Raw genomic sequence first — 24,592 nt, forward strand, 5'->3', positions numbered from 1 at the left:
AGCCTGTGTGTGTCTTTGCACGTGAAGGGGTCTTCTGAATACAGCACACTGATGGGTCTTGACCTTTTATCCAGTTTGCCCATCTGTGTCTTTTAATTAGGGTATTTAGCCTGTTTACATTTAAGGTTAATATTGTTTTGTGTGTATTTGATCCTGTCATTATGGTGCTAGCTGGTTATTTTGCCTGTTAGTTGGTGCAGTTTCTTCATAGTGTCAATGGTCTTCACAATTTAGTATGTTTTTGCAATGGCTGGTACCGGTTTTTCCTTTCCATATTTAGTGCTTCCTTCAGGAGCTCTTGTAAGGCAGGCCTGGTGGTGACAAAATCTCTCAGCATTTGCTTGTCTATAAAGGGTTTTATTTCTCCTTCACTTATGAAGCTTAGCTTGGCTGGATATGAAATGCTGGGTTGAAAATTCTTTAAGAATGTTGAATATTGACCTCCACTGTTTTCTGGCTTACAAGCCAGCAGGGTTTCTACAGAGAGATCTGCTGTTAGTCTGATGGGCTTCCCTTTGTGGGTAACCCAACCTTTCTCTCTGGCTACCTTTAACATTTTTTCCTTCATTTCAACCTTGGTGAATCTGACGATTATGTGTCTTGGGGTTGCTTTTCTCGAGGAGTAACTTTGTGTTCTCTGTATTTCCTGAATTTGAATGTTGGCCTGCCTTGCTAGGTTGGGGAATTCCTCCTGGATAATATCCTGAAGGGTGTTTTCCAACTTGGTTCCATTCTCCCTGTCACTTTCAGGTACACCAATCAAACATAGATTTGGTCTTTTCATGTAGTGTCATATTTCTTGGAGACATTGTTTGTTCCTTTTCATTCTTTTTTCTCTAATCTTGTCTCCAAGCTTTATTTCATTAAGTTGAGCTTCAATCTCCGATATCCTTTCTTCTGCTTGATTGATTTGGCTATTGATACTGTGTGTGCTTCATGAAGTTCTCCTGCTGTGTTTTTCAGCTCCATCAGGTCATTTATGTTCCTCTCTAAACTGGTTATTCTAGTTAGCAATTCCTCTGACCTTTTATCAAGGCTCTTAGCTTCCTTGCATTGGGTTAGAACATGCTCCTTTAGCTCAGAGGAGTTTGTTATTACCCACCATCTGAAGCCTACTTCTGTCAATTCATCAAACTCATTCACCTTCCAGTTTTGTTCCCTTGCTTTTGAGGAACTGTGGACCTTTGGAGGAGAAGAGGCAGTCTGGCTTTTGGAATTTTCAGACTTTTTGCACTGGTTTTTCCTCATCTTTGTGGATTTATCTACCTTTGGCCTTTGGTGTTGGTGACCTTCAGATGGAGTTTTTGTGTGGACATCCTTATTGTCCTTGTTGATGCTATTCCTTTCTGATTGTTAGTTTTCCTTCTAACAGGCCCCTCTGCTGCAGGTCTTCTGGAGCTTGCTGGAGGTCCACTCCAGACCCCGTTTGCCTGGGTATCACCAGAGGAGGCTGCAGAACAGCAAAGATTGCTGCCTGTTCCTTCCTCTGGAAGGTTCGTCCCAGAGGGGCACCCGCCAGATGCCAGCCAGAGCTCTCCTGTATGAGATGTCTGTTGACCCGTGCTGGGAGGTGTCTCCCAGTTAGGAGGCACGGGGGTCAGGGACCCGCTTGAGGAGGCAGTCTGTCTCTTATCAGAGCTCGAGCACTGTGCTGGGAGATCTGCTGCTCTATTCAGAGCTGGCAGGCATGAACGTTTAAGTCTGCTGAAGCTGTGCTCACAGCCACCCCTTCCCCCAGGTGCTCTGTCCCAGGGAGATGGGAGTTTTATCTATAAGCCCCTGACTGGGGCTGTTGCCTTTCTTTCAGAGATGCCCTGCTCAGAGAGGAGTAATCTAGAGAGGCAGTCTGGCCACAGTGACTTTGCCATGTTGTGGTGGGCTCTGCCCAGTTTGAACTTCCAGGTGGGTTTGTTTACACTGTGAGGGGTAAACCGCCTACTCAAGTCTCAATAATGGCAGACGCCTCTGCCCCGACTAAGCTCCAGCATCCCAGGTTGACTTCAGACTGCTGTGCTGGCAGCAAATATTCAAGCCAGTGGACCTTAGCTTGCTGGGCTCCATGGCGGTGGGATCCACTGAGTGAGCTAGACCACCTGGCTCCCTGGCTTCAGCCCCCTTTCCAGGGGAGTGAACGGTTCTGTCTCACTGGTGTTCCAGGTGCCTCTAGGGTATGAGAAAAAACTCCTGCAGCTAGGTTGGTGTCTGCCCAAACGGCCACCCAGTTTTGTGCTTGAAACCCAGGGACCTGGTGGTATAGGCACCCGAGGGAATCTCCTGGTCTGCGGGTTGCAAAGACCATGGGAAAAGTGTAGTATCTGGGCTGGGTGGCACCATCCCTCACAGCACAGTCCCTCACAACTTCCCTTGGCTACAGGAGGGAGTTCCTCAACCCCTTACGCTTCCTAGGTGAGATGATGCCCCACCCTGCTTCTGCTCACCCTTTGTTGGCTACACTCGCTATCTCACCAGTCCCAATGAGATGAGCCAGGTACCTCGGTTGGAAATGCAGAAATCACCCGCCTTCTGCGTTGATCTCGCTGGGAGCTGCAGACTGGATCTGTTCCTATTCGGCCATCTTGCCATCCACCTCCTTTGTAATATTTTTACTCTTTTAAAGTCACTGCTCAAAATATCAATCATACCATATTCAACTATAGGTAGAAGAATGTATTTTTAGGCGAAATACCATTTTAAAAATCAGCTTTTGCTTGGGAGTTTAAATATAGTTTTGACAATTTATATCAATATGAGCTTTAAAAAATGTTCTCAGGAGTAGTTTTGTACACAGAAAGAAATTATTCAGAGGTTACTTTCAGTTTTAATAATACTTATTAACCTTAACAAATTCATAAACCCGGTTCTTTCTTAGAATTCTAAATTCAACATACAAATCAAATTAAGTCGCTTAAATGGAGGGACTGAAACAATTAAATTTCCTATAGTACAAGCACTCCTCACTTTGCAGATTACCATGGTAATAATTCATGTTTATAGAAACCATGTTTATCACTTTGCACAGTTCAGTGGTTGCTGAGATCTATTAATGTGGTACCCTATAAAACAAGCAGTGCCTGTATTTTAAACGGAATTTATATATTTAATATGTTTTATTTTTATGCTCATATTTTGGCATACTTTCTCAAATTTTTAAATATCTCTTAATTTTTAGAAGTTCATATATTATGGTTACTCTTAAGTTATCTTAAGTATTCTAATAGTGTAGGCAAATTTTCCTTTACTTTTCAGCTTAAAAAGTCAGGTGGATCACGAGGTCAGAAGTTTGAGACCAGCCTGGCCAACATGGTGAAACCCCGTCTCTACTAAAGATACAAAAAATTAGCCGGGCATGGTGGTGCGCGCCTGTAATCCCAGCTACTTGGGAGGCTGAGGCAGGAGAATCACTTGAACCCCAGGCGGGGAGGGGAGTGGAGGTTGCTGTGAGTTGAAATCACACCTTTGTACTCCAGCCTGGGTGACAGGGTGAGACTTCGTCTCCAACAACAACAACAAGAAAAATCCCATTCCAATTGGATATTCACGTTTACATAGATTTATAAAAGCCTAGTCTGTTAAGTATTCTTACAATACCACATTTTTTAAGGCTTAAGTATTTAAATATCAACTATACAGAGTCTTTCTAAACTTAACATGAAAATATTAATATTATAGGTTCACATCATAATTTCTGTTACTTTAAATTTTTCTGGGTTAAAAAATCACTTAACTAGTAAGGCAACCATTTTTTTTTCCTAGTTTCTGAGGTTATTACATGTTGACTTGAGAGGCCCTGGCCTGATCCCAAGACTGATTCTTTACTAACACACTGATAGGAACACTGATACAGACATTCTATCACATAGAAAAATGGTTGATCTCAGAGTTCTTCCTGGGTTGAAATCATAGCCATATAACTTAATATTATGAACTTAACTATTATTACTTCTTTCTACTTCCAGAAGTCTGCACTAACATGACGGCCAGCATAATTTACCATGTTAGTTGTATTTCCATTTCTTCTGCTTTCTTGAGATATTTCATTATCTTCCTCCTGGTTCCAAAGACAACATTAATGACTTTCCATTTGTATTAGTCAGTGTTCTCCAGAGAGACAGACCTGACAGGATATATGTATATATGAAGGGGAGTTAGTTTATTAGGGAGAATTGGCTCACACAATCACAAGGCAAAGTCCTACAATAGGCCGTCTGCAAGCTGGGGAAGAAAGAAGCCAGTAGTGGCTCAGTCCGAGTCCAAAAGCCTCAAAAACAGGGAAGCCAACAGTGCAGCCTTCAGTCTGTGGTCAAAGGCCAGAGAGTTCCCTGGCAAACCACTGGTGTAAATCCAAGAGTCCAAAGGCTGAAGAACCTGGAGTCTGATGTTTCAGGGCAGGAGGAACCAAAGGAAGCAATCAGTATGGGAGAAAGATGAAAGCCAGAAGACTCAGCAAGCAAGGTTATTTAACCTTCTTTTGCCTGCTTTGTTCTAGCCACGCTGGCAGCCAGTTGGATGGTGCCCACCCACATTGAGGGCAGGTTTTCCTCTCCCAGTCCACTGACTCAAATGTCAATCTCCTCTGGCAACACCCTCAAAGACACACCCAGAAACAATACTTTACCAGCTATCTAGGCGTCCTTCACTCAAGTTAACAGCTAATATTAACCATCACCGTGTTGAATACTTTTGTTAATTTATTTTGTTCTCCTTAAATTTTATCATTTGATTTAGGTGGATGAAATACTTTAAAGAATGGTGTGAAAAGCCTGTGTTTGTAGTTAGTTCTTTTTCTATTTCTTCACTTAAAAGGAAGTTTTGAATGAGATTTTAACTGTTAACAGTAGATTTATGTGGGTGCTGTAAGTATGGACAGTTCAAATTTTTGCTTTATACTTTTCTGTATTTTCCATATTTTCTAAATGATCACTTCTTACTACATTAGAAATAATATATTATTTGTTGTTGATGTGGGTTCTGGAATTAGATTTTTGAGATTTGAATCAGGACTCTACCATTAAGTGTTAGTGGTTAACCTTTTGCTTTAGATTACTCTTCTGCAAATGGTTGATGATAAAAGTAGTTGCCTTATGGGATTACTGCAAAGGCTCAAATAAAATAATATACTTAAAGCAGTCGGAACAGTGGTAATGCCACAATACTGTGTAGAGTTGACTCTTGAACAACACAGGTTTGAACTGTGTGGGTCAACTTATACACAGATTTTTTAAGATAAAGATTACACTGAGTGTACCTGCCTCTCGTGCCTCCCATTCCACCTCCTCCACTTCTTCCACCTCTGCCACCCCTGAGACAGCAAAACCAACCCCTCATCTTCCTTAGTCTACTCAATGTGAAGACGAAGATAAAGATATTTATGATGAACCATTTCCACTAAATGAAGAGTAAATATATGTTCTCTTCCTTATGATTTTCTTAATAACATTTCTTCTCTAGCTCGTTTTATTGTAAGATTGCAGTATAGAATACATATAACAAAAAATGTGTACTAGTCGACTGTTTATGTTATCGGTAAGGCTTCTGGTCAACAGCAGGCCATTGTAGTTAGGTTTTTAGTGAGTCAAAAGTTGTACGCAGATTTTCAACTGTGTGGAGAGTCAGCATCCCAACCCCACTGTTGTTCAAAGATCACCTGTACCAAGTAAATGCTAGCTGTTATTATAATTAACTTTCTATAAATCACAGAGAAGGAATCATTAATGTAAACTCTTTCAGAATTATTATGACATGATATAGAAGGTAGATGGTCCTTTCTTCAGCTCTTAATTTCTCTATATTGACGTTGAGTTCATTATGTGTTAAGTGCATGGTACATAGTAAATGCACAATAAATGACTGTTTTTGCTAACATTGTCATCACTGGCATGTGAGTGTCCAAGTGAGGTTTAATAGAAATCCAGTCCAGAATGCAGTCATATATTGAGTCAAGTGCTATTTACATATCTTAAACACCATACTTTAAAGATTCTTAATAGTACATGCAGTGGGTACCTATTGGAGAGTGTACCTAGGCTACATTCATAATTGTTCTTCAAAGGTAAATGATGTGATTTTACGTTCAGTTTGTCTTCCCTAGCTCTGCTGGTACATTCAATATTTGTAATGGTATTTTTTAGTTATTGGTTTGAGTTAAACCAAGATATTTCTCTCTAGAACATCTTGCTGGTGATAAAAAAATAATTTTTTGGCTTCAGCATATTAGTATCCTTAAATTTATGCCTCCTATTTTTGCACTAAAGACTTTTCGTATCTTATAACATGTCAGTGTAACCCTTTTTTTTTTTCATTTATTATTGTAGATTCAAAACAGCAGGATCTGTTTCTCCTGAATTTTAACAGAAATTTCTAAACCCAGAAACCAATTTTTTTTTTTACTTAGAAACTCAAAAAGGGGTCTGCCAAATAAGTGGTATTGTTTAAGGGTAATTTGTGGTATTTTTATTTTATCTTGTGTACATTTTTATTTCTCCGTGTGTTTGGTATTATAATACTAGCTAATGTATATTGAGTGTTTTCTTTTGTGAGACATTGTTGTAAGCCCTTTATATTTATTCATTTAATCACTAAAACAACTCTATGATATAGTTACCATTATTATGCCCAGATAAGAAACTGAGGCTTAGTGTTAAATAACTTGCCCTGGATCTCAGAGTTAGAGGCAAGGCTAGAATTTAAGTATACACATGCTAAAGTTTGTGCTCTTGAGTACTAACTACAAAGCTGTCATATAATAGATACCTGTTACTCTTTGTGGCCTGGATGTATAGGTTACTCTTTGTGGCTTGGATGTAAAGATAAAGAAAACACAAGCATGTTTTATAACTAGAATAGCATGGGAAAGGAGGACTCTTTATATTTGGAGGAGGCATTTTTCGAAATCTATTTACTTTTTATATTTATTTTTTGAATACTAGGTAATTAAAATGCAGGACAATTTAAAATATTATTCTTTTTGTAAATTGGAAGTAATTTTTCTCCCACCAGCTTTTGAATTCCTTGAGGACAGAGTTTAGGTCTTTGGTTTTATATCCCTGGCACCTGAGTAGCTACTCAGTAGTAGTTAGATACCTGTTATATTGAAATTGGCTTTAAACTTTATATCATTTTAAAGTTGAAGCACAAGAGGGTGCTGTTTACTATGATACTTCTAGGTCTTAGCTCCTTTTATCTTTCTACTTGTGAAATAATAATGCAACAGCAATTTTTTTATTGTTGTTATGGTTAGAACCATCGAGACTCTAATTTTTCCCCCTTAATTTCTTCACTTCAGATTGTCAGTTATTTGTTTTTTGTTGGCCTTGTGCATGTAACAGATCATCAGTGTGTGATGGACCTTAGGGCTCTAGATTTCTGATGATATTAAATAATTTTTGCTAAATCAAAAGAAAATTAGAAAGTCTTTTGAAGAAGGTTTGTTGATTTTTTAAAACTGAACAGAGTATCTGAGTGCTTTAAATTTTAAGAATTTTTTTCATAAATTAATAACATGCAGTTATAATGACATTTTGTTGCAGGGTACTTTTTTTATAGTATTCACATTTTTTTACATGTGATATTGTTCTGGATTAAATGTGGACAGCATTTTTTTCTTCCTAAGTTAACAAATTACAGTGTCTTGGTAGTTGTGGCATGTAGTTATCTTCCTTTTATATCAGTATTTATCAGCAGAATTATAATTTTCTATTTCTATTTTAATTTTATAATTATCATGTATTTTGAACAGCCAGATAAATAATTCTGGCTGCCATTTATTAAATGGGTCTTCGGAACTGTGCTGGGCACTCTATCTAAATTGTTTAACTCAATTTTTATGATAATCCAGAAAAGTAAGTAGTTTTATCTCTATCTTATAGTTCTGAGATTTAAAGGAGTTAAATGATACTTGAGGCCACAGAGCAGGGATTTGAAGGCATGTATGTCTTCCTGGTTTCAAAGCATGTATCCTCAACACAGTACTGTGCTGCCTCTATAGGCAACCCATGTTTTTTACCACTCCATACTTTACCAGAGGCACACTTAATGCTATCACGAACTTTTTTTTCTTTTTTGCCCAATATAATCTGCACATTTAGTAGGTTCTGCTGATCTTTTATAAATACATGTAAGTGAAGGGGAACTATTTAGACAGCATTTTTACCAAGATGGTCTTCTCATGGTTAAAAAAGTATGACTGCAACATATAGGTAATCAATGGAACTAGAAAAATTAAGAAAGAAAAAATAAAGGCATACTGGAAATTGTATTCTGATTAGTAAATCTAATAATGATTTAAAATCAAGTAAGACCACTCCACGTCATACACAGAAATCAATTTCAGATAAATTTGGTCCAAACATGAAGAGTAAAATAATAAAGCTTTTGTTTTCTTCTGAGTGAATCTCTTTCCTGACCTTGCTGTAAGCCAAGATTCCTTAAAGTGGACATAAAACAATGTTAACTACAAAGAAGAAAACTGAAAAATTGGATTTTATTGGAATGGAAAAATTCTGTTCTTCCAAGGGCACTGTTAGGAGAATGAAAAGGCAAGCCACAGAACTGGCAAAGGTATTTGTAATACATATGACAAAAGACTGTAGCTAGACTATATAAAGAATTCCTATACATCAATAAGAAAATACAGACCCTTGTAATCCCAGCTACTCAGGTGTCTGAGGTGGAAGGATTGCTTGAGCCCAGGAGTTTGAGACCAGCCTGGGCAACATAGTGAAACCATGTCTTTAAAAAAAAATGATAAAAAGACCAATAGAAAATGAGCAGAAATCTTGAACAGGCATTATGAAAATAGATATCTAAATGGGTAATACAAATGAAAAGGTACGCAGTCTTATATCAGAGAAGTACAAATTAATACCATCATATACCACCACACACCCTTGAGTATGGTTAAAGTTAAAAGATGGATAACATAAGGTGGTGAAAAGGCTATGGAACTACAGAAACTCTCATATACTGCTATTTAAAGTCTAAGTGCGTATAATCGTTTTGAAAGTCTATTTGACACTGTATACTAAAGCTTAACCTACACGACTCTTTGACCTAGCAGTTCTACTCCAAGTATACAATCAGTAGATATGTGTATACGTATATATATGTTCACTAAAAGATGTGTAAGAAATGTTCTTAACAGTACTAATTGTAATGGCACCATACTGGAAACAACACAAATTTATGTCACCAGTAGAATGGACACACTGTGATATTCTAATTCAGTGGCATACTGTACAACTAAGAATGATTAGCTGTTGTATTATGTAATAACCTGAATAAATCTCACAAAAAATAACAATGAATAAAAGAAGCCACTCACAAAAGAGCATGTATCCTATAATCTCATTTTAATATGGTTCAGACATAGATAAAATGTATTCATAGTGTTAGGAAGTTGGGTATTGGTTACCTTTGATGGTTGATAAGTGACTGATGGACTCTGAGAAGGCTTCTATAATGCTGGTAATGTTAAAACATGATTTGAGTGTTGATTATACAGAAAAATTTATGTTATATGTTATGATTTTTGTACTTTTCTATGTGTATGTTACACTTAAGTAAATACTTAGGTGGGGGTGGAACTTAAGTGGCTTTATTTTCCATAACTTTTAACTATGATTTTCTAAATAAGTATTCAAATGATTTCTAAGTTAAAGACTATTTTAAAAGTAAATATTTTCTTCTTTCTCAATGGAAATGTCACCAGTAACTTGAGTTGTTTCCGGAGCTCTGGTATCATCCCAGGCTGTCTAGTTTCTTTAAGCAGATGTGCCCATTAATAGGGGTCTAGGAAAAGACCTTTCCCAGCTGTTTCATCAGGGCTGCCCTGGTAACAGTGAAAATTTTCCTCTCTTCACTCCTATTATTACTCTCTCCAAAAAGTTAATATTTGTTAATTGCTTACTCTGTGTTCAAGCAGCATTACCCCATTCAGTCCTCATAACAGGAGTCTGTTGTATCAAAGAGGAAAAATGTATCTGAATTAGTTAGAAATAGAATGAGTAAAGTCATTTCAGGCACCATGTCACCAGGGCCTTGAGGAGAAATAGATAAAGTTGGGAGTTTGGGTGGATACTAAATGATACTAATTTTTTACCTACCAAAAAATTAAACTAAAATCTCACTTGTGGCTGACCTGTTGTAAAGGGAACATACAAGATTTTTTTTGCCTCTACTTCCACAGTCACTCAGTACAATACATCTGACACCAGATATTTGGGAGTTTGTCCCCCACACACCAAGCAGTTCTCCTGCTGGGTGTCCTGTAATTCAGTGCTGACAGTATCTACGTGGGGATAGTATCAGATCCCATGACACAGTCCCACAAGGCTGCCCCCACTTCAGATGCCAGTTGCAAGTAGTAGGTTGTGACCTGTACTTTTGATTGAGTGATGGTAAATTGGGATTCTTGTGACCCCCCTCCTCAGTTTGATTAATTTCTCAGAGCACTTTACAGAACTCAGGGGAACACATTTACCCACTTATTATAAAGAATATTACAAAGGATACAGATGGGTGGGACCCTCATGGAGAACCTCTACTAGGGCAGTGTGGAAGGGAAATGTGGGGTCAGAGCCCCCACACAGAGTCCGTACTGGGGCACTGCCTCGTGGAGTTATGAGAAGAGGGCCATGATCCTCCAGACCCCAGAATGATAGATCCACTGACAGCTTGCACTGTATTCCTGGAAAAGCCACAGACGCTCAACACCAGCCTGTGAAAGCAGCCAGGAGGGAGGCTGTACCCTGCAAAGCCACAGGGTTGGAGCTGCCCAAGGCCGTGGGAGCCCACCTCTTGCATCAGAGTGACCTGGATGTGAGACATGGAGTCAAAGGAGATCATTTTGGAGCTTTAAGATTTGACTCCCCCACTGGATTTCAGACTTTCATGCACCCTAATAATTTAACCAAAAAATGGGCAAAAGATTTGAATAGACATTTCTCAAAAGAAGACATACAAATGCCAAACAGGCATATGAAAAGGTGTTCAACATCATTGATCATCAGGGAAATGTAAATCAAAACTGCAGTGAGATATCATCTCATTCCAGTTAAAATGGCTTATTTGCAAAGTCAGGCAATAATAAATGCTGGCAAGGATGTGGAGAAAAGGGAACCCTTGTACACTTGGTGAGAACATAAATTAGCACAGCCACCATGGGGAGCGGTTTGGAGGTTCCTCAAAAAACTAAAAATAGAGCTACCATAGGATCCAGCTCACTGCTGGGTATATATTCAAAAGAAAAGAAATCAGTGTGTCAAAGAGATATCTGCACTCCCATATTTGTTGCAGCACTGTTTAGAATATCCAAGATTTGGAAGCAACCTAAGTGTTCATCAGCAGACGAATAATGGATAAAGAAAATGTGGTACATATACACAATGGAGTACGAGCAAAAAGAATGATATTGTCATTTGCAGCAACATGGATGGATAGAACTGGAGATCTTTATGTTAAGTGAAAGAAGCCAGACACAGAAAGACAAACATCATATGTTCTCCTTACTTTTAGGATCTAAAAGTCAAAACAGTTGAACTCATGGACATAGAGAGTAGAAGGATAGTTGCTAGAGACTTGGAAGGGTAGTGGAGGGTTGGAGAAAGGTGAAGATGGTTGTGGAGATGGTTAATGGATAAAAAAAATAGAATGAATAAGACCTACTATTTGATAGCTCAATAGGGTGATTATAGTCAATAATCATTGAATTGCACATTCAAAAATAAGTAAAAATGTATAATTGGATTGTTTGTAACACAAAGGATAAATGCTTGAGGGGATGGATACCCCATTTTCCTTGAAGTGATTATCATGCATTGCATGCCTGTATCAAAACATCTCATGTACCCCACAGATATATATACCTATTGTATACCCACAGAAATTAAAATAAATTATAGCTAGACAAAATTAACTGTATATATTAACTATAATAATTTTGTTGTCACCTCCTTGTGGTGAGGTCAAGTGTTTTGAGTATCTGCTTAAATTGCTATGTCCTGCTAATAATTTCCCCATAAGCAAAAAGTAATCCCTTCTGGTTCTTGTGTATTTTTCATCATGTTTACTCAATATCGTAATCCTTGAATAACACCACAGTAACTCCCATACCAAGTGCCACTAGCGATGGTGGAAGTGCCCCCAAGAAGCAGAGAGTGTCATGACATTACCAGCAAAAGTTGAATCACTTGATATGTACCTTAGATTGAAATCTGCAGCTGTGGTTGCTTTCCATTTCAAGATAAGTGGATGTAGCATATAGACCATTGTACAACAAGAAAAGGAAATTTTTAGGAAATTTCATGAAGTCGTACCCCAGCAGGCATGAAAACGTTATTTCACATTTTTTGCGAAATATGAAATATGTGTTAATCAACTATGTCATTGGTAAGGTTTCCATCGATAGTAAACTATTAGTAGATTTGGGGAAGTCAAAGTTAGGCATGGATTTTCAACTGCCTGGAAGGCTGGAGTCCCTAACCCTACGTTGTTCAAGGATGAACTGTAGTTACATGTCCACTTAGCCATCTAACATTGATGCCAGGAAGAAACCTTAGATTGTGGATTTGTAGAAACGTGCCCTACATAGGAGCAACTATAGCAAGAAGCCTCTTGTTTACATTTTACCCCTTTCCCCATAGGATCACCTGTGAATAGTGGGATGACTATTCATTTCAATAAACTAGGGATAGTCCTGGTTTATAGCTGTTGTTCCAGGCTGTTATTACATTATAATAATGTTGCATACTATTATATAATTTATTATTAATAGCTGTTCCTTTTTACTTTTAATACTACCCCATTTAGGATAATAAATTACATGGTCCCTTTATCTTAAGTTACCACTGAAAAGGGTGGTGAGAATAGAAATGGGAATAGAATAGTCAGTGACAACTATGCAAGTTGGAATTTAAGAGATTGATTTTTGAAGGTTTGCATCAGAGATCATCAGGATCATCTCAATGATTTACTGGGATGCACTGGACTCAGAAGTTGCTATATGCATGCTATGGTTTATTATAGTGAAAGGATACAGAGTAAAATCAGCAAAGGCACATGGGATGAAGTCTGGAAGACTCCAGTTGCAAGCTGTCAGGTGTTCCTTTCTACTGGAGTTACACAGGACATGCTTAATTTCCCCCAAAATATGTCATAATGTGTACAGAGTATTCCCAACCAGGGATGTTTACCCTGGGGGTCAGTCACATAGGTATGTCATGCCTGCATGACTGACCTTGGCTACTTAAGCTTCAGATCCTCGGAGAAAAAGCAGGCATTCACTATAAATCACATTATTAACATGAAGTACCTGCTCAAATTGGTACAGCATGGCCCAAGACCTCCAGCATACAAAAACACTCTAATCAGACAACTTTCTGAAAGGTTGGAGCTTAGTTCTCAGGAGCTGGCCAAGGGCTAGTCCTGAAAACAGTCCATTTATGGGAATGTGCAGAGTTTGAGCAACGCAAGCCTGCTGAGGTGACTCTTCCCACGAGGTCATACAAGTTATTCAGTTTAGAGTTTGGACCCAGGTAAGTCTGATTCCAAAGTCTGTGCTTTTTCGCTAAGTAGTTTTTAGTGGTCTTTTATACTGATTTGATAATTAAAAATTACTGGCTGCATTAGATATAGTAGGGACTTGGACTGTGCCTTACCTCTCTTGATGGATATTTCCTAATGAGCTTTCTTCCCCCTCACATTAAAATAAGGAGGCTTAGTTGAGTATTTTTAAGTGCTTTTGTAAGAAATGGTGCTAAGACTTTCTAGTTTTAGTCCTTTTCAAAAAAAGTTTGTTTTCTATACTTATGTATTGAAAAGTAATTTATCTGTAGTTAAACTTGGTAGGACTCTATTCTTTTTTTACTTTTTTTGCATTAATACAATTTTTAGTTTGAAAAAGATAAATGTATAATACAAAATTTTAGTTCATAATTAAGAATTGCCTTCCTTATAGATAATAGTTTTGAATAAATTTAAACAGTTCTTAAAACCTTTTTTCTTTTTCCATAGGTATTTGTGGAAACATTAGACAAATGTTTTGAAAATGTCTGTGAGCTGGATTTGATTTTCCATGTAGACAAGGTACTATTTGTATTGTCACATCTAAGCTTTTTAAGAAAAACATTAACTTATAATTGTCATAGCAAAAATGGCTTTAATGAATAATTCTATTTTTATTCTTTTATTATTCAATTCATAATTTTTTTTTTACTATGAGCCAGGCTTTGTGCTTGGTGGAGAAGATTCAGATCCTGCCTTAGAGGAGTTCACATCGAAGGGTGGAAACAACGGCATTAACAAATAATAATAATAGTATGTGTAGCATGTTAATGGGGACACAGCTGAACCACTTACCTCTGCCTAGGAGACTGTGAATGGAGGAAACTACATTTAAACTGGATTTTTAAGGGATTAGTAGATATATCATACATAGAAAAGGAGAGGATGGTCCTACTGACAGAGATATAAAATATAGGCCTTTTTGTGAGGAGGGACTGATACTGATCAACAGGCCTAGTTTAAAACAACCATTAATGCCATGACTTTGAACTTTATTGTGAGGCAATTTAATGTTTTTAAACAAGTTTTTACTGACGTTATTATTGCTTTGTTTGTATATTTTTTTGATAGAGTGATTTTTTCTTGTATTATGGAGATTGGATTGATAGGCTGGGAAATTAAACACATGGAAATCAATTAAGAGTTTATTGCAGTAGTCCAGAAGGAAATGACTAAGACACTACGATGAGGTTTGAAAGAAGGAAAAACGCTAAGATTAGGTTTGGAAGAAGGTAGAATTGATGGGATTTGATGGCTTATTGAAAGCTGAAGGTGAGAGAAAGAATGACAGATTTCTGCCAGTATTAGTAGATATTTGTGATACGGAACTTAGGAGGAAGAGATTCCACTTTCACTATGTGCAGATTTTTTTCTGTATTAGGTTTGTATAATCTAAGAGATTCTTTATGAGTGATTCAACTACTGAGTAAGAGTCTGAAAATTTTAGCAAAAAAAATCCAGTGTGATTTTTAAAAATTGGCTTTATTGAGGCATAATTTACAGGTGTTAAAAGTCAACAGTTTTAAGCTTACAAAACTAAGTTTCGACTAGTGTGTATAGTACATGTAACCAGCATCACAATCAAAGTAGTACAAAGAATGCATTTCATTATTTGTGAATGTCAAAAAAATACTTTTCTCTTTGGCCAGTATTCTAGATCATATCTCTCATTTACCAAGTGATTTGATTTTATAAATTAATTCATTTTGGACAGTGTACTTAAGCATGATATTTTTATGAGTCTGTTTTTAATGTTCTACTGTTTTTCTCTAATTGCTATGTCTAATGCTTTTTCACACTTACAAAGACTCTTGTTATTTTTAGTCATTAGGGTTCACAATATTCAAAATTATGTTTGAAGACCAGGTGCAGGTGCTCATGTCTGTAATCCCAGCAGTTTGGGAGGCTGAGGCCGGAGGATTGCTTGAGCCCAGGAGTTTGAGGCCATCCTGGGCAACATGGCAAAACCTGGTCTCTACAAAAAATACAAAAATTAGCCAGGTGTGGTGTTATGCATCTGTAGTCCTAGCTGGTTGGGAGGCTGAGGAAAGAGGATCACCTGTGCCTGGGGAGGTTGAGGCTGTAGTGAGCCATGATTGTGCCACTGAACTTCAGCCTGGGTGACAGAGTGAGACCCTGTATCAAAAAAGAAAAAAATTTATGTTTTGGTACATGATTAAAATTTTTAGAAAGCTGTGTTTTAAAATGACTGCTGAGAGGTCATCATTAGCTTATGTAAATACATTTACCATCTTTTAAGAAAATTGAGGACTCTCTTGTGAAATGTGATGGTAAGAGTAAGGTTCTTATATTTTTTTTACTAGAGAAAGAGAATAAAAGTTTTTAAGGAAATTAAGCTGTACTCATCTGCAACTTCCATACATGACACAAAATGTTTTTAAAACTTCTATTTCTCATTAGTATGCATTCATTTTAGAAAAATCAGAAAATACAGAGAGAAAAATATGTGAAAATCATCCCTATCCCAGAGATTGCCTAGTGTTAACATTTTAGAATATGTATAGTACTTGATTTTACATCTTTAAAACAAATAATCTTTAAACAAATACATCTTTAAAACAATAAAGATGGGATCATACAATATGTATTTTGTGTTAGCCTGTTCATTTTACACAACACTATATCACTATTTTAGAACCTGCCAAAATTAGCTGTCTCTCTTTTCTCTGGGCTAAGATCTTGTTTTATTTTTTCAAGGCAAGGAGACAAAAGTTTTAGGATACCAAAAGACAGAGATCAAATAAGTGTTTCCTTTCTATTCGCCAAGACAATGCTAACTTTGCTTTCAGCCCTTTGATGAAAATTATTTTCAACTTAAAAATATAGATATATTTTTTTAAATTTCAACTTTTAAGCAGCTCTGGACCTTCCAGCAGTAGGGATCTTCTGACTGGCTCAGCTCACATTTTCTTTTTTTTTTCTGAGATGGAGTCTCGCTCTGTCACCCAGGCTGGAGTGTAGTGGCGATCTCGGCTTAATGCAAGCTCCACCTCCCAGGTTCACTCCATTCTCCTGCCTCAGCCTCCCGAGTAGCTGGGACTACAGGCACCCGCCACCACGCCTGGCTAATTTTTTTGTATTTTTTTAGTAGAGATGGTATTTCACGGTGTTAGCCAGGATGGTCTCGATCTCCTGACCTCGTGATCTGCCTGCCTCGGCCTCCCAAAGTGCTGGGATTGCAGGTGTGAGCCACCACGCCCGGCCACAGCTCACATTTTCTTAAAGGCAAGACATAGGGAGGTTTGCACACAACCCTCAGACTGCTTCTGGGTCACAACTGAGTAGATGAAAAGAGAAAGTTGTAGAGAATATCCCTTTTGTTATCAGTCAGGATGAGCTAATTTATGCTGCAGTAGCGAACATGGAAATGTTAGCCACTTAAAACAAAAAAGGGTTATTTCCCATTCACGCAGTATGTTTATCATATTCCACATGCTGTCATTTTGGGATCCATGGTAACAAAGCTGCCACTATCCAGAACATTGTTAGTTTCTATGTCAGAGAGAAAAAAAGTTTTCATTGGGTAAATTTATCTGCTTTTCAGGGTATCACAGATGATAATTGTACCAAGTATTTTGCCACTACAAACATGGATCAGTAACTTTCCAGCCTCCAATGTAACAGTTTCTATGTGGCCAGCTGCCCAACCTGTAAACCACTGTCACACATTTTCTTTTATTGTGGTTGTTACTAGTTTCTTTTTATAAATCTTTACATGCTAATAACTGTATCAATCACATAGGCTAGTGTAGTCACCCTGAAGTAGTGGGACAGACCCACCCCTACTCACAATTGGTTTGGATGTAGAGACTAACAATGTCACAGGTGCCCCAAGAGGATAGGAAAAGATTTATTACTCACATAATGAGGCTTTCTGGAGAAAACAGAGAACAACACGGGGCTTGGGTTTTATGGTGGTTTGGTGGTGGGGATGGGGTGTGAGGATTTCTGCATGTGGGCCAGGTCTTAGGTAGTCTGAACTTTCCACTAGTGTAAAGGAAGGAGCATCCAGACCTTCTTAACAGCTTGCCCAGATATGGGGCAGAAGAGGAATGGGGACTAGTAGAACTTGAAGGCTGTGAGCAGACACACATCAAAAATGGAGTCAGACCCTTTATCACATACAGCTAAGGTATGCTGTGGTTATTACCCCTAAAATCCTAAAATATGAATCATTCAGTTTGTTTCTTACTTACACTATATGTTTATTGTGGATTTGCTGGGGGAGCTGCTGAGTTATCTGCCCATTTCCTGTATAGTGTGGCTCCAATTGGGTGGCCCCGTGTTGTTGCCCATATTGGAAGAAAGCATCAAAATCCAGGGCAAAATGAGAGAGCTAAAGATTCTGTGCAGGGCTTGGTTTGGAGGATGTATGACTTTGAGAATGACAGCTGTTAATATACTCTATTCTCCTCTCTGCATTCCCCCACTTGCCTCCACAAGTGATTAGGGTAGAGATCTGATCGGAGGCCTGTGTCTTTCATACCCTTGAGGCTGAGAGAATAAAGACTTAAGAGCAGAGTGCTTTCTTCCAACCTGGTCCCTCTTGAGGATTTGGACAGCCTGGTCTTTAACCACAGGCACAGAACGAGAGACTCCTTTTACTTTCACCAAATAAAGGAGCTACTAGCCATTAATAACATCTTGGAAGCCAGCCCTGAGCACAGTAAGCCAATAGAAAGAAAGCACTGCCATCTGAACAAGAGAGATTAACAGATTGAACAATCAGAAATTACGCTCCATGGAAAAGAACTACTGGAGAAGATAGAGTAACACTTGAAATTTTATAATTTTAAAATTTATTTATTTTGGTATGGCTGGGGTCTTGCTGTGTTGCCCAGGCTGGTCTTGAACTCCTGACCTCAAGTGATCCTCCTGCCTTGGCCTCCCAAAGCATTGAGATTACAGGTGTGAGCCACCACCTGGCCTCACTTGAAATTTTAAAATGATTTTAAAAGTACTTAAGATTTGGAAAAGTCTTCTTGGGCTTGAAAAGAGTTTTTCAGACTGAAAACTTTTAAAGAAGGTGATCACAATTGAGGCTTGAATTAAAGGTAGAAGATCAAGTGTAGGAAATAATCCCAAAGCATAAGACTGAAAGATAGAAAACATGAAGAAGAAGAAAAGAGACTTTGAAGGATACATTTAACATCTATTATACAAGTACTTGGAGGATCTTATCCAATTGAGAGAAAGAAGAATGAGGAATAATTAAAGTATTTTAGTAGGAAAACAAGGTCTCTCAGTGGTCTAGAAAACTTGATATTTGTTTTATAAATAATAATAAAGTCATTTAAGAGGGAGAGATATATATTAATGGGAAGTATAAGCACAGTAGAGTTTCATATTTAAAAGGAAGAGAATAGTGTAATAAAATTAGATCAAACTTAAAATATTGGGAGAAAAGAGAAAGTATAATTAAAGGTAGAAATAATATTCAATACACTAAAAGTGCACAGAATGAAATAATTTACTGAAGACAAAGATGGGCTTAAATAAAAGGCACAGTTTATATAGGAAAGGCCAGATAAATTCTAGAGTATTTTTCTTTATAGTTACCAATTTTCATAACTGGTTGCTTTTCTAATATCCACCAAAAAAGATCATTTAAGTTTTTTAGTATCCTATGGCATAAAATTTTTAATATATTTGATTTGTTTTAATCAGTTGCAGACATTATTTTCTATTATGTTCAAGTTGCCCATCTTTGGCCAGTGGGAACCCCTTCAGATTATCTTTGCTAGTTCATTTGACCTGACCTACCCCGTCATAGGCTTTGGTAGCTGTCTTGTGTTGTGGTCCAGCTAGATGTTCTAAACTCATTTTATTCATTTCCTGTTCCAGACATGTTGTCAACCATTCTTTTCTAGGAGCCCTGATTCCTTTTTGTTGGCGATGGTATATAGTAACTACAGTCTAGAGGTGCTCATGATTATGAAGTTGCTCATTGTTTTATGGCCTTTTCAATGAACAGAGCATCTTACGTATTTTCTGCTCCAGCCCTCAAGTCAGCCATTTCTCCAAGGAACCCTGGCTTCCTTCAGTAGAGAATGATGTTTAGAAATGACGATTTGGGCACTGTGTTTGCTCATTGTTACTGGGGTGACATGACTCCTGGTTCTTAGTGAACTGAGCTGGGAAATAGATGTATGTATACACGCACAGCTGTTTCTGGATCTTGATATGATATTAAAAATCATTGACCACTTCTTAATACCTCAGAATCTAGTACAATACTACAGAATTTCTTCTGGCTTTCTCGTTTTCCATATTTGCAGCTTGCTTCTCTGACAGAGATCAGTGAGAGATCTCATTATAAAAATATGTGTCTAATAATTAATGTTGATTCACTGTTTTAAATTTTTATATTTTTGTTTGTTTGCTCTTACCAACACAGTTTCATTTATCACTGTCATATGTATATCAGGCACCAGTCTCTTTTATGGTTTTCCTAACTTAATTTCTCATTCTTTCCTTCCTCTAACTTTCAATTCTTTATTTTCTTGCAGAACTGCGAAAATTAATGTATATAATATGTTCTCATTTGTGTAAATTAGATATGCATATACACACGTATAACAAGTATGTGCACAGCAAGTTTTCTAGGATACCTAAGATATAGCTAGCTGAGTAGCTTTGGATAAAGGGACCTAAAAACGGATGCAGAGTGTGGTAGAGACTATTGTTGTTCATACATAAGTTTCTGTATGAACTTTTAGTCATTTGCCTATATTCTTTTTTTTTTTTTTTTTTTTTAAGTTACGGTAGTTTTCAAAACACTGTCATGTCTGGTTTGGTTTGGTTGGCTAGGAAGATTAATTTATATAAATTTGTCTTCAGAATTTGTGCATGAGGTGTCCATGCTTCCAAAATGAAAAATAGTAAATAATGATGACTTTTTTTTTTTTTTTAATTGAGGCAGGGTCTCACTCTGTTGCCCATGCTAGAGTGCAGTAGTGTGATTTCAGCTCACTGCACCCTCCACTTCCCGGGCTCAGGCAGTCCTCCTGGGTCAGCCTCCCGAGTAGCTGGAAGTACAGACGTGAGGCACTATGCCTGGCTAATTGTCTGCATTTTTTGTAAAGGCAGGGTTTTGCCATATTGCCAGTGATCTGTCCACCTTGTCCTCCCAAAGTGTTGGGATTACAGGTGTGAGCCACCATACCCAGCCTCCAGGGATATTTTTTAAATTATGAATAAATTTGCGTGAAATCTTACAAAGAAATTTAAATTGAGTAATACATATTTAACTCCTAAAAAGAGTTTGTTGAAAAAAAAATTACCGTATAATACCTAGTGGTTCTATGCTAAGCACTTACATAAATTATTTATTTAATTGTTATGGTAATCCTATGAGGTGCCTATATTATTTCTGTCTCTATTTCGTAAATAAGGTAACAGACTCAGAGAGCTGAAGTAACTGCTCAAGGGCTACAAGTAATAAGTGGTAGAGTCTGTATTCATACTTATCTAATTTTGGAGTCTCCATTTCTAACCTTACCACATTATTTTAAAAAAATTATAGCAGAATAGATTCTTCTGTGAAATGTAATTCAGTTCTGAATTGTTGATTTTTTGATCCAATAATACCTTATGAAAAGACAGAAGTTATATTTTTACTCCCCAATGGAAGACATCATTTTTAGTCATTGTAAGATGTATTTATTAGAAGAAATCTGAATATTACATGTGTAGAGGATTTGGGGGTAAAAACACTATTAAAGTACCCACAATTTAAAAAATTCTACCTTTTTCCAATCTAGAGCCTGTTAGAAGTACTGTACTACATTGCTTCATTAAGTACCATGAGTGTAAAATAATAACCTAATTATTGTTGGCTAAGAATCTGGCATAAAAGGCTCTTATAAATCATATTTTAGTATTAAACTTCACATAATAATAATAATAATGGTAGTTAATATTTACTAGTCATTTACTTTGTTTTGAGTACTGCATTGGATTACCTTGCTTATTCCTTTCAACAGTCCTATGAAGGTAGTACTATTGTTTTTGTTTTATAGCCCATTAAGCTCAGACTTAAGGAGGTTATATAACTGCCTAGGGCTTCACAGTAGTGATGAAAGTGGATTATGAGCCCTTACTCCAAGTTGTTTTTACCACTCATACTTTTAACATAGACAAAGTGGTATTTGAAACAAAAAGTGAATCATGAAACTTCTTTTTAGTGAATTTTCTTTATGGGTATATATTCTTTTATTCCCTTTAGGTTCACAATATTCTTGCAGAAATGGTGATGGGGGGAATGGTATTGGAGACAAATATGAATGAGATTGTTACACAAATTGATGCACAAAATAAGCTGGAAAAATCTGAGGTAAGAATGGAAAATGCTGTAGTTAAGAAGGTTCTAAGCATGATGACAGATTACGCATGATTTGTAGTTTTCACTGTTTGTCCTTCAGTATCACCCTTTAGGTTCAGCCGTTATGCTTATTCAGTTTTTAAAAAATGGAATATACACGTAGTATGCTAAAGGTTCTGTGACTGTTCTCTACCCAACAGCTTTGTGTATTCTTCTTTTAGCCACAGTCATAGCTGCCTTGGGTAATAAGCACAATTCCAAATCTTATTGCCTAAAAGAATTATCTGAATAATGGAATCTAATATTTGCTTTGTAAAACTTCAGTCGGTAATTATCAAGGAAATCTTAGAACTAATATTTTAAAGATATATAAATTTTGTGTTACAAAACTACTTCTGGAAAGGGAAAGGACAGGAAATGGAATTCTTACAGGGAAGTAAGTAATGTTTCAAGTTATTAATAAATGCAAAATAAATATTTTGAATGTTTGAGTTCACATTCAAAAAAGAAATTCAATACCTTAATCTTTTAATTCTAAATCTTTCCCTAAGATTTCACTGACAAGTTAGTTAAGTCACATATTTTAGACATTAGTACATATATATCCATGGTCTTTATTGCATTCTATAAGATCGGTTTGTTATACTTAGCTAACTTTCTGCTGTTAGATTCAACCTTAGATGGGATAAATGAGGAACAGCCAGCACTTTAGCATTGTATAAAACCCTACTTCAGAATTGTAGTGACTCTTCCCTCAAGCACTAGTCTGAATATCAGTAGCAGGTGCTGTAGCTGAGCCACCTGGGTTCACATTATTTTGGTTGTTTATTACCCTAGCAGAGGTTTAGAAAGATCAGTAGTTTTATCATTTGAGTTCAGGAGTTCGAGACTAGCCTGGCCAACATGGTGAAACCCCATCTCTACTAAAAAAATAAAAATAAAAAATAAATAAATTAGCTGGGCACGTAGAGCGCACCTGTAATCCCAGCTACTCGGGAGGCTGAGGCACAAGAATCACTTGAACCCCGGAGGTGGAGGTTGCAGTGAGCCGAGATCACATCACTGCACTCCTGGGCAACAGAGTAAAACTTCATCTCAAAAAAAAAAAGAAAGATCAATAATTTTGATATCTCATTCACCACCCAACTTGTTTGAGGATACTCTTACATTTGGTATTTGCAGTCATAACTCAGATTGGAAAAAACAGACTTTATTTTTATAATTATTAGTGTTAAGCTCAGATGTTTCGTTGATTTAAAGTAAATATTACTTTGAAAGCATCAAGGTTTTAAAAATACACTGGCATTAATTTACAACAGGTGAGTTCTGAAAAATTTTACCTTGTTGGCATTTTAAAGGATCAGTTTAACTCAATTCAATTCTGTGTCCATTTTAATTGAAGAAAACACAGGGTGAAGAATAAATCTCAAATCTAGAAACAGTTGAAGCTTATAAAACATTTTCCAGTGTTCTCTTTTAAATTTAAAATAGTCTTGCATTTTTCTTTATCTCAATTTCCCATTCCTGTTGGTTTCCCAAAGGAGAAGTTTATAGTGGTGATTTAGAGCTAAGATTATCTTAACTAACTATATGTTTTGTTTGTCCTATAGCCAATTTTTAAAATATTGGCTTTTGAAAGTGGAAAACATAAATTAGGTTAATAGAGAAAATTTTGTTTTAGGACAAGGAAAAAGACTCATAATTTAATTTAGTATAACTGACTTGCAATATATTATTTAGTAAAGAAAAGATTATTATAAACCCTGAGCTATTGCTTTTAAAGTCTTAAAAGAACTTAAAATGTGTGTCATTTGTTAAACATTGCTTTGCAAAACTGTATGGTTATAGATTTTAAATGCCAAGGGACAAACAGTGATGCAATCCTTTAATAACTGGTATAAATGAATGAGTATCTAGTAATTTGTGAATTCTGCATAATCATCTGTAAAAAATATTGACCAGTTGTCTGGAATTTTCACCTTTCTAGGTAGTTAACTCCTTTTCATTGGTGGTGGTCCTTCTTTTTCTTCTGCTACTTAAGACATTTATGCCTGGTGTTCCATTATTGGAATGCTAAGCTTGTGGGAGTTATTTATATCCTACTGCTCAAGGTCATCCCCAAGGTCTGATTTTTCACAAAAAAAAGTTTGCAACCTCCGGCATAAATGGGTTAATGTGCTATATTGACAAAAGTTATGAAGGACCTATAATTATTGCATAATGGGTATTTGCTTTTTGATTGTTGAATAAAACTTCGTTAATGAGGCAATTTTTCTTATCTATAAAGAGCAGTAAAATGCGTAATTTACATTTCAATGGAAATAGTTATAAGAATACTATAACTTAAAATCTATTCACAGAAATAATGCTATTTAAAATAGTTTAGAATACTGGTGATTACTTCTATTATTCATTCCCTGATCATCTCGCATCATACATAATTGTTATCTGGTACCAAATTAGTTTCTCTTCTTTTGTCTTTTACAAGAAAGTATGTTTTAAGTCTGATTGGGGATAAACTACAAAATTATATATTTTCTATACATGTAACGTCTGCTAATATTTTAGTTATGAAATCGGATTTCAAGTCAAAGTGAGGCCATTTAGCCCTGATCATCTTTTTAAAACAGCACTGAAAATTATGATGACTAATTTTTCGTAGCTTTTGTATATTTTAAGTATGTTTGAAAG

At 36.7% G+C, this 24,592-nt stretch overlaps 1 protein-coding gene across 15 annotated transcripts in view; it reads left to right on the forward strand.

Moving 5' to 3' along the window:
* The window catches only part of AP3S1 (adaptor related protein complex 3 subunit sigma 1), a 72,147-nt gene that overhangs the window by 39,145 nt on the left and 8,410 nt on the right, over positions 1-24,592 (forward strand). For 8 of the 15 annotated variants that reach the window (NR_157084.1, NR_157087.2, NM_001002924.3 and 5 more), the window contains 2 exons: positions 14,008-14,079; positions 21,806-21,913. The exons of 1 other annotated variant lie outside the window; for it this stretch is intronic. Coding sequence is in view for 10 of the 14 variants with exons in the window: in NM_001002924.3 (NP_001002924.2) it covers positions 14,008-14,079; positions 21,806-21,913 (180 nt within the window). In the remaining 4 variants the exon portion in view is untranslated. Of the gene's footprint in view, positions 1-14,007; positions 14,080-17,569; positions 17,711-21,805; positions 21,914-24,592 lie in introns of all 15 variants that reach the window. 6 more of the 15 variants (NR_157086.1, NM_001318091.2, NM_001364120.1 and 3 more) reach the window with 3 other exon arrangements.

This window comes from Homo sapiens, chromosome 5 (genome assembly GCF_000001405.40).
Source record: "Homo sapiens chromosome 5, GRCh38.p14 Primary Assembly".
NCBI lineage: Eukaryota > Metazoa > Chordata > Mammalia > Primates > Hominidae > Homo > Homo sapiens.